An 11,817-nucleotide genomic window follows, 5' to 3' on the forward strand; every position below is an offset into this window, starting at 1 on the left:
CCTCTGCCCTCCCTCCACCCCCCACAATGCCCCCCCCCGCCGCCCCGCTGCAAAACACACACACACACAACAAGCACTGCGCTGCACATTTAGTCGGGACTCTGAAAACGTTTGCTGAATGAGTCATTTAACCAACTGGACCTGAAAGCAAAGGCCCTCCAAATTTCCAGATGAAGAAACAGCTCTTTCCATTATTCTTTTGAGCACTTACCCTGGGCCAGCCCCTATACCTGAGCTAGGGACACAGAAACACAGAACCCGCCCCCTCCCCTTCCCCTCAGTGAGCTCACAGGTCCACCTGACCAAAATAGGTGGGTTTGTGAAGGCTGGCAAAGTGATGAGAAGTTTAATCTGCTCAATAAAACAGACCTCTTAAACACTGTAAATGGCAGAACCCCTTTGGAGATACTCAGAATCTAGTAGGTATATGCTTTTTTTTTTTTCCACAAAGGAAACACAAGAAACTGTTAACAGTGGTTAAGGGAATGGAGGACTGAGGGAAGGCCTGCACTTTTCATTTTTATACTTGTCTGAACTGATTTGTGTTTTCTAAGTATATATTATCCTCCCTCTCTCTCTCTTTTTTTTTTTTTTTTGTTTTCTTTTTCTTTTTTGAGACAGAGTCTCACTCCTCTGTCTGCCCAGGCTGGAGTCCAGTGGCACAATCCCAGCTCACGGCAACCTCTGCCTCCCAGACTCAAGTGATTCTTCTGCCTTAGCCTCCAGAGCAGCTGGGACTACAGGCGCGCACCACCATGCCTGACTAATTTTCGTATTTTTAGTAGACAAGGTTTCACCATATTGGCCAGGCTGGTCTCGAACTCCTGACCTTGTGATCCGCCCACCTTGGCCTCCCAAAGTGCTGGGATTACAGGCATGAACCACTGTGCCCGGCCCCTCCCTGTCTTTCAATAGGGGTTATTTGAGCAGTGGGATTATGTGCTGCATTTTTTTCCTTTATATTTTTGGTATTAAAATAAAACTCCTTAATATTTTAATTGTCAAAAACAAAATAAAGTGAAACACAGTAACCTGCTTCTCACTTTAGCAGGCTAGACAGTAATGTCTGCTTTTTACACTAACCCGTGTTACAACTCACACTCTCTTCTGCCCTCCCACAGTCTGTCTACTGGATATCTCTATCAGGATCCATCTGCAAAATCGAACATCATTTTTTCATCTCTGACGTTGCTCCTCACTCCTATGTCCCTAACTGGGTGAATGGCCCTATGGCCAACTCCCCCAGTTCAGAAATCTGAGTCATCCTCAGCCCCTCCTCTCCCATACTCCTATATCTGACTTGTCATAAATTTAACTAACAATCCTCCTCCTCTCCATCCTCACTACTACATTTCTTCCAAGTTCTTTTTGCCTCCATCCTCATCCTTCTCCTAATTAGTGATTTTCCACACTGGTCTCCTTATCAGTCTCTAAAGTATAGATCTGGCCGGGCACAGTGGCTCCCACTTGTAATCACAGTACTTTGGGAGGCCAAGACAGGAGGATCACTTGAGGCCAGGAATTGGAGACCAGACTGGGCAGCATAGCAAGACCTTGTCTCTACAAAAAATAAAATAAAAAATAGTCAGGCATGGTGGCCTGCACCTATACTATCAGCTAATCAAGAAGCTGAGGTGGAGGATCCCTTGAGTCTAGGAGTTTGAGACTGCAGTGAGCTATGATCATACCACCATACTCCAGGCTAAGTGACAGAGAGAGACCCTGTCTCTAAATAAATAAGTAAATAAATAAATAAATAAAAATATAGATCTGACCATGGCACTTCCCTGTTTAAATCTCATAGCTCCCAATGGCCATCTAAATAAAATCAAACCATTTTCTTACCCTGCTCCCACCCCTACCCTATGTTCCAAGCACCTTGGAATAGTTTTCATCTCCTAGAATCCGGAACATATATTCATGCCTTCATAGCTCTGTATATGATTTCTCCTATGCTAATATTTTCTCCCCTTATTCACCTTGCCTACTTCTTCCTATGAATCATTTCATACCCAGCCCAAGTGTCACCTTCCCACAAGCCTTCCCTGAATCCTCGAGGGGGCTATAGCTATTTTCTCCCTGCACACTTTCACAATCCTCTGCTTTATTCTATCTGAGAACTTATTACAGTTTTGTAACTGCCTGTGTAACAGCCTGTCTCCCCCCTCTAGAATGAGACCTCTGTGAGGTCAGGGGCAGCTTTTTGCCTTTCTATCTTCAGAACCTAGAAGAGATTCCTGCACAAAGTAGGTAAATATTTACTGAATGCTGATTGAATTATTAAAGACTCACCACTAATTCATTTGCTTGCCTACATTTCTAGCTAAGAGCTTCCCCACCCTATCAAGACGTCTCTCCTCACTGTCTTTGTTCAGGGGTGTAAGCATTCACTCAGCAAATGGTTGAGGTAAAAGTAGACATTTCTGTGTCTAAGGTGTCCTGTGTCCAGGAGATAGGAGGAAGGAGAAGGAAGAGAGGTGATCGATGTTACACTGCTTACCCTGCCTCTGTGTCTTGCAGCAAGGGAAGAATTAACATGGGGAACCTACCATGTACCATGGCTGACACTCTCCATATGTGACCTCACTTAATCCTGACAACTCTGGATAAAGAGGTTATCATCCCTATTTTACAGGTGAGAAGATAAAAGTTCAAAATTAAGTGACCTCCCAAAGTTCCCACAGTCAAGAGCGTCTCTGCCTCCCATACATCTATGGCCAACTGATTTTCAATAAGAGTGCCAAGACCACTCACTGAGGAAAGAATTGTCTCTTCAACAAATGGTATTGGGACAACTGGATATCCACCTGCCAAAGAATGAAGTTGGATCCCATCTCACATCATATTCAAAAAGTAATTCACAATGGACCAATGACCTAAATGTAAGAGCTAAAACCATGAAATGCTTAGAAGAAAACACAGAGGTACACACCTTTTTAAAAAATAATTTTTAGGAGTAAATCTTCTTGATCTTGGATTTGGCAGTGGATTTTTTTTTTTTTTTTTTTTGACAGAGTCTCACTCTGCTACAACACAATGGTGCAATCTGGGCTCACTGCAGTCTCAACCTCCTGAGTTCAAGGGATCCTCCCACCTCAGCCTCTCAAGTAGGTGGGACCACACACTCTCAAGTAGGTGGGACAACAGGTGTGTGCAACCATGCTCAGCTAAGTTTTTAAATTTTTTGTAGAGACAAAGTCTCACTATATTGCCCAGGCTGGTCATATATCCTGGGCTCAAGTGATCTTCCCATCTTGGCCTCTCAAAGTGCTGGGATTACAGTCATGAGCCACCACACCAGTCTGGATCTTTGATACAATACCAAAAACATGAGCAATAAAATAAAAAATAAATTAGGCTTCATCAAAATTTAAAACTTTTGTACACCAAAGAACATTATCAAAATACTGAAGAGACAACCTACAGAACGGGAGAAAATATAGGCAAATCATATATCTGATAAGGGTCTAGCCTCCAGAATATACAAAGAACTCACACGACTCAAAAACAAAAACACAACCCAACGAAAAAATAGGCACAGGAGTTGAATAGACATTTCTTCAAAGAAGATATACAAGTGGCCAAGCACATGAAAAGATGCTCAACATTATTAGCCATTAGGAAAATGCAAATCATAACCAGAATGAGCTACTAGAGAAGCTGAGGTAGGAAGATTGCTTGAGGCCAGGAGTTCGAGACTGCAGTGCTGATGATCACGTCTGTGAATAGCCACTGCACTCTAGCCTGGGCAACATAGTGAGACCCTATCTCCAAAAATTTTTTTAAATTTTTTAAATAAATAAAAACAAAACACAATAAAATATCACTTCACATCCAATAGGATGATATAACTGAATAAAAGGAATGTCTCAAGTTGAATGATGAGGAATCATAAAAAAAAATGAGTGTTGGTGAGGATGTGGAGAAATAGGAACCCTCAAACATTGCTGGTGGAAATGTAAAATGGTTCAGCCACTTTGTATTTTTTAGTAGAGATGGGGTTTCACCATGTTGGCCCTGCTGGTTTCAAACTCCTGAACTCAGGTGATCCACCCCCTCGGCCTCCCAAAGTGCTGGGATTACAGGTATGAGGCACCACGCCTGTCTGATTCAGTCGCTTTGGAAAACAGTTTGGCAATTCCTCAAAAAGTTAAAGATAAAAGTATAATATGACCCGGCAATTCCGCTCCTAGATATATAAAACTGAAAACAGGGAGTCAAACAAATACATGTACATGCATGTACACAGCAGCTCTATTTGCAATAGCCAAAAGGTGGAAACCCAAATGTTCATCAACAGATGAATAGGCAAATAAATTGTGGTTATACATACAGTGGAATAGTATTCAGCCATAAAAAGGAATGAAGTAGGCTAGGCACAGTGGCTCACGCCTGTAATCCCAGCACTTTGGGAGGCTGAGGTGGGTGGATCACCTGAGATCAGGAGTTCAAGAGCAGTCTGGCCAACATAGCGAAACCCCGTCTCTACTAAAAATACAAAAATTAGCTGGGCGTGGTGGCGGGTGCCTGTAATCTCAGCTACTCAGGAAGCGGAGGCAGGAGAATTGCTTGAACCCCGGAGGCGAAGGTTGCAGTGAGCTGATATAGTGCCACTGCACTCCAGCCTGGGTGACAGAGCGAGACTCCATCTCAAAAAAAAAAAAAAAAAAAAAAAAAAGGAATGAAATACTGATAGATGCTGCAGTGTGGATAAACCTCAAAAACATGGTAAGTGAAATAAGCTAGACACACAAAGGTCACATATTGTATGATTCCATTTATATGAAATATCCAGAATCCACAGAGACAGAAAACAGGTTGGTGGTTGCAAGGGCCTGGGGGAAGGGTCAATGTATCTGCTCAATGGGTATGGTTTGCCTTTTGGAGTAAGACAGATTTGGGGGAACTTGATAGAGGTGATGGTTGTGCAACATTGTGAATACATTAAATGCTACTCAAGTGTTCATTTTTATTTTATTATTTTATTTTATTTTATTTTATTTTATTTTATTTTATTTTTTAGAGATGGGGTCTCAGTATGTTGCCCAGGCTTGTCTTGAACTCCTGAGTTCAAGCAATCCTCCTGCCTCAGCCTCCCAAAGTGCCAGGATTACACGCATGAGCCACTACACCTGGCCTAATTGTTCACTTTTAAATGGTTAATTTTATGTTATATGAACTTTACTGCAACTACAAAACAATTAACTTAATGAAAATAAAAAAGAGTATCTGCCTGAGCCCAGAGCTAGGCTTCCTTCACTGCACTTTGTGGGCATTCACTGAGGACAGCCCATAGAATGGCATCTATAATGGTTGTGACTCTGGTGCTATCAAGCTGAGGGATGGCAAGTCACCACACTTGCATTCTGAACACTGAACCTGCCAAATAAAGATGACAATACCTGACCCACCGGAGCTTCCATAGAGACTCAATGCAAAGGTGGAAAAAGTAAAATCAAAATGAGAGATGATGATAATGATGATTAATGAAATACCCCAGTTACCTCTCCCACAATTTCTGGTGTTCATCTTATAACCTGAAGATGCACTGTCAAAAACAAAACAAAACCCTGAAGAATCCCAGTATAGAACAATAGAACACAGTCACAAAGGGCCCCTAAGGATGTTTTAGGTAAAAACTCATATGATTAGAAAATAAGAACCAATTTAAACTAGGAATGCAGGAAAACTTTCTTACCTAGCTAAAGGATATCTAACAACAACAACAACAACAACACAGAACAAAAACAATCCTCCCACCACCACCAAAACCTACAGCTAACATCACATATTTACCACTACACTTACTGTAAAGACTAAGTTCCCCAAGATCAGGAACAAGGTAAAGATTCCTGCTTTCACTATTCCTATTCAACAGCATACTAGAAGTCCCAGAAAGTGCAGTAAGGCAAGAAAAAAAAATAAAAGAATAAAAAGCATATAGGCTGAAAAGGAAGAAACAAAACTCCCTATTGGCAAGTGACATAATTGTCTATGTAGAAAATTCCATGAGATCTACGAAAAAGAAAAAACCTCCTAGAACTAATCAATTAGTTTATCAAGGTTGCAAGATACAAGTTTAATATTTAAAAGTCCATTGTATTTATATATACTAGCAATAAACACTTAGAAATTAAAATTTTTCAAAGTACCATTTATAATAGCACTGAAAAATTAGATATAAATCTAAGAAAATATGTACAGAATTTGCTGAAAACCACAAAACACTCACAAAAGAAATCAAAGAAGACCTAAATTAAAAGAAAAGGTATACTGTTTTCCTGGTTTGGAAAGCTCAATATTGTTAGGATGTCAATTTGCCCCAAATTAATCTAGAGACTCAATACAACTTCAATTGAAATCCCAGCAGGATTTTTTTGTTGTTAGTAATCAATAAGCCAACTGGAAAATTTATTTGGAAAGGCAAAGGAACTAGGATAGCCAAAACAATTTTGAAAAAGAACAGAGTTGGAGAACTCACTATCTGATTTTAAAACTCACCATAGGCCAGATGCGGTGGCTTATGCCTATAGTCCCAGCCTCTTGGGGCTGAGGCAGGAGGATCACTTGAGCCGAGGAGGTTGAGGCTGCAGTGATGAGTCCTGATAGTGCCACTGCAGTCCAGCCTGTGCAAGAGTAAGACCCTGTCTAAAAAAATATACCTCACTATAAAGCCACAGTAATCAAGACAGCGTGGTATTGGCAAAAGAATATATACAATTTAAAAGAGTCAACTTGATTATTCCTAAAAGTAGACTCTCTTCTGAATGAAACTTTAGGTTAATCAGAATCGCTCTCAAAATGGAAAATTAAATGGCTTGGGAAGCCAGGTTCTTCCCAACTCATTTCCTGTTTCTCCTCCTTTCTTCCCTCCTCATCCTGTGTTTTCTCTTACATGAGTGATGACCCCTCCAAACCAGGATCTGATGGGTTATCCCAGGCTCCTTTCTCCCTACCCGCCCCTTCAGACACCAAGGCTGTGATTCCTGCCTTCTGAGCACCTGCTCTCCACCACCACAGCAGTGGCCCTCGTGAGGCCCCATCATGTCCATCCTGAATCACGGGGCCAGCTTCCCATTGGTCTCCCTGCCTCCAGCCTGGCCCCTCCAGTCCATTCTCCCTACAGCCAGAGCAATCTTCCTAAATCACCCATCCAACCATGTGGCTCTCCTAGCTCCAAGCCTTCTCAATGCTGGGGAACTCCTTGGAGGCAGGAATTCTTTGTCACAGTAGCCTCAGGACCGAGCCCATGCGTGGTGCCCACGCACACTCAGCGAATGATGATTGAATAAATGCACGTTAATAAAGTAGATGAAGAACTTATTGAAGGAGGTGCAGGCCCTTCAAAACCTCATTCAGAGAGGTCAAAACACAATGGCTAAGAATGCAAGGAGGAGGCACCAAGGTCTGGATCCCAGCAGTCTCTATTCTCATCCAACAATATTGGTTGAATACCTACAATGTACTCAGCACTGTCCTGGGCGCCAGAGATTCATGGAGCTTCTCTGTGGACACAGAGTATTCAACTAATCATACAAATGAATGCATCATCACAAATGATAAGACCCTAAGGGAGAATGCTCCATGCTATGAGAGGGTGGGAAATGAGGAAGGGGACTGGAGGCCTGACCCCATCTATGGGGTCCAGGAAGGCTTTCCTGTGGAGGTGATCATTAAACTAGACTCTACGGCTGGGCACGGTGGCTCACACCTGTAATCCCAGCACTTTGGGAGGCCAAGGCGGGCAGTTCACAAGGTCAGGAGTTTGAGACCAGCCTGGCCAACATGGCGAAACCCCGTCTCTATTAAAAATACAAAAATTAGCCAGGCGTGGTGGCGGGTCCTGTAGTCCCAGCTACTCGGGAGGCTGAAGCAGGAAAATTGCTTGAACCCGGGCAGCAGAGGTTGCAGTGCGCCGAGATCATGCCACTGCACTCTGGCCTGGCTGACAGAGCGAGACTCTGTCTCAAAAATAAATAAACAAATAAAAATTTAAAAAATAAACTAGACTCTGTGAGGAGGAGAAGTTACTGGTTGTGGCATTGAGGGAAAGCTTTCCAGCTAGATAGAGGACGATGTCCGAAAGCCCTGAAACTAAAGGAACTAAGATCACTTCCAGGCAGCAAAAGAAGGGCAGTGTGACTGGAGCCACAGAGTGAAGGGCAGGAGGGCATCAGATGAGACTGAGGAAGGGCAAGGTCTGGATGCTAAAGGAATGAAGGATTTTACCTGGAGACTGATGATCAGATCTGTTCTGAAAATACCATTCCAAGCCAGGTACGGTGGCCAATGCCTGTAATCTTACCTACTTGGGAGGCTGAGGTGGGAGGGTCACTTAAGACCAGCAGTTCAAGACCAGCCTGGGCAACATAGTGAGACTCTGTCTCAAAAAATGATGAAAAAATGTAGCCAGGTGTCGTGGCATGCACTTGTAGTCCCAGCTAGTCAGGAGACTGAGGCAGGAGGATTGCTTGAGCCCAGGAGTTCAAGGCTACAGTAAGTAAGCTTTGATCCTACTACTGCACTCCAGCCTGGGTGACAGGACGAGACCTCATCTCAAGAAAGAAAGAAAGAAAAGGAAGGAAGGAAGGAAGAAAGGAGAGAGAGAGAGAGAGAAAGAAAGAAAGAAAGAAAAGGAAGGAAGGAAGAAAGAAAAGGCCAGGTGCAGTGGCTCACAACTGTAATCCTACCACTTTGGGAGGCCCAGATGGGAGGATTAGTTGAGCCCCGGAGTTCGAGACCAGCCTGAGCAACATGGTGAAACCCTGTCTTTACAAAAGATTTAAAAATTTAGCCAGGTGTGGTGACACACACCTGTGGTCTCAGCCACTCGGGATGCTGAGGTGGGAGGATTGCTGGAGCCCAGGAAGTCAAAGCTGCAGTGAGCCGTGATTGTGCCACTGCACTTCAGCCTGGGCAGCAGAGCGAGACCCTGTCTCAAAAAAAAAAGAAAGAAAGAAAGAAAGAAAAGTAAAAAGAAAGTAGCATTCCAGTGTCATGTGGGAAATGGGCTAAGAAAGAGGCAAGAGTAGGTGCTGAATGCACAGTCAGAAGTCCCAAAGATGAGGAGCCTGGACTCCAGGAGAAGTGGCTGGGACATAGCTTTATTTAGGAGGCAAACTTAATACACCTGGGTGATGGGAGTGAAGGGAAGCAATGTCTGGGCATCTAGGAAAATAGCAGTTTTAGGGTTTGGAACCTCCCCTGGGAGGCCCAAGGCATTCTTAGTCCTCAGTGGTGGTTTCCAGAAGCAAAGTCAACATCACCATTACCAAGTCATTAAGCTATATCTCTTCCTCATGCTCATCGCTGCAATGGCTTTTCTAGAGAAACTTTCATTGGCTCTCAGCTCATCACTGTCTTTATAGAGAAACAGAATCAGACTTACTATAATATGCATGTCAAATGCTGCTAATGAGGACAATAAGATCTGATAGCTTAAACAATTATAACGGACAATATTTGCTATAGATATGTAAGGAAGGGCCTGTTACTTATTATGGAAGCACACAGTCCCAGGCCCTGTGGCAGGTGCTTTTCCATACATTAATGCAGACAATGCTGTGTACATACAGCAATACACAGGACAGTCGTATGAACAGGGTAGTATTGTTTCCTATTACAGATGTGGAAGTGAGATCCCAAGGAGGCTAAGTGACTTGCTCAAGACCTCAGAACCAGCAAGTGGCAGAGTCAGGCTTGACCCTAAATACCACCATCTTTCCACCACACTACCACACCTCATCTCCAGCTGATCTGGACCATTCTCTGTCACCTGTCCCTTCCTCTCCTTTCCCCTAGAATGCCTTCCTGGCTGACCACTCCCATCCCAGCCCACCCAGATCTCCAAGTGGCCCCTTCTCCACTTAAGGCTTCCCCTCCCAACCAAACACCAAAAGCACAAAGCCTTCACCATAACTCCTTCCTGTGAACTGTGGAGTCATTGCCCTTCTCAGAGCACCTATTCTCTGCTGTGTTACTTACCCATTTGTGTATTTACTGTATTCCCACTAATAAACTGCAGACCCCTTGAAGGCAGGGACTTTGTATGTGTATCGAACATGTTCAGCAATTTGTGGATATGAACCCATGTACAAAATTGATTCAACAGATCAACAAGTTGGTAAATGAGGCTGAACCAAATGCATATATGGAGTAAGGAACAGAATAGTTGATTATTTTTATTTAAAATGTTTCTTATAAAATAAACAGAAGACTCATCCAGTACACACTAGTATTATGTAATTCCTATGCTGTTTTCCAGGCACATATTAAAGTCATCTAGACCTGTATCCAGAAAGCATTTTAATAAATAGAGGAATGGAATTGTATTCATGAATAAGTTTGAAATGAATTTTTCAATTAAAAAATCAGTTTTAAGACGTTTAATAGACATCTCGCATAATCCGCTCTTCAAAGACATTTTATTTCTTTTATGAAACCAAACTTACCTTACTGCATCCCAAATTCAAACACTCATGCAATGTTACAGTTAGAAGGGAACTTCAAAATCATTCAGTCCAATTCTTTGATTTTTCAGTCGAAATAGATAAGTGATGTGAAATCTTAGCTGAAGTTCACAGAGCTAGATAGTGCCAGAGATAAGACTAGAACTCATTATTTCCGAAACCCAACTCTCAGAGACAGCTGGAAGCCTACCTTTATATTCATCCTTTCATTTTTCTCCAGTAGCAGAACCCCAATTCTATTAATGGGTTACAATCAACCTCTAAAAGACATTTCCTAGACTCCCTTGCAACCAGATGTGGCCATGGGACCACTTTGGCCAATGAGATGCTAAGCGTTAAGTATGTGCACTTTCAGGAAGTGTTCCTAAAAGGGAGGGAGGATGCTATTTTCCCTCCCCTTCCTTCTTCCTGTTGCCTGGAAGGAAGGCATGAAGGCTGTGGTTCCAGGAGCCATGTGGGACCACAAGAGTCAGGACCACACCTTGGGGCTGGCTACGTGGAGAGCTAGAATGAGCCTGAATCCCTGATAACCTCAGGGAGTCACCATAGCCATTCTGGACAGCCTATTTCTGGATCTTCTTTTATGTGAGAAAAAAAAAATAACTGTGTCACTTAAATCACCATTATTCTGAGTTTTCATTTACATGCAGCCAGACTTAACTAACCCATCTTGCTTCCTCCATCTCACTAAATGGCAGTTCCATTCTACCAGCTGCTCAGGCCAAAAACCTTGGAGTCAATACTAGCGACTTTCTCTTTCACACTCCACAACCATTCCACCAGCAGTGCTTGTCACCTCTTCCTTCAAAATAGATCAAATCTGTCTGCATCTCACCCTGGGCCCAGCCACCATCCTCTCTCATCTGGTTACAGCAGTGGTCTCCTAACCTTCTTTCATTCTTGCCTGCCACCCACGGTCTCCAGTCTCTTTTCCACAGAACAGTCAGACTAAATTATTTCTTAAAGGTAATTCAACACATCTTACTCCTTTGCTCAGAACTTCCCAATGGCTGTCCCTGACTCGAAGCGGGAGCAAGGTCCTTCCTGTAGCCTACCTGGCCTGAGTGAGCTTGTCCTGGCCCCCATCTTGTTCACATTACCACACTCCACCTCATCCACTGCGCCTGGCCACCCTGCCCTCTTTGCTATCCCTTGAACTTATCAGGTATATGCCTGCCTTGGGACCGTTCTGTGTTTTGGAACTCACCCCTCAGGTACCTACATATTCTCTCCCTTACCTCATTCAGGTCTCTGCCCAAACATCATTTTATCGGGGGACCTTCCTGGACCACCCTATCTGAAATGGAAAACCAGCCAGGTGCGGTGGCTCATGCCTGTAATCCCAACA

The sequence above is a fragment of the Homo sapiens genome, chromosome 1, assembly GCF_000001405.40.
Source record: "Homo sapiens chromosome 1, GRCh38.p14 Primary Assembly".
Taxonomy (NCBI): Eukaryota; Metazoa; Chordata; class Mammalia; order Primates; family Hominidae; genus Homo; species Homo sapiens.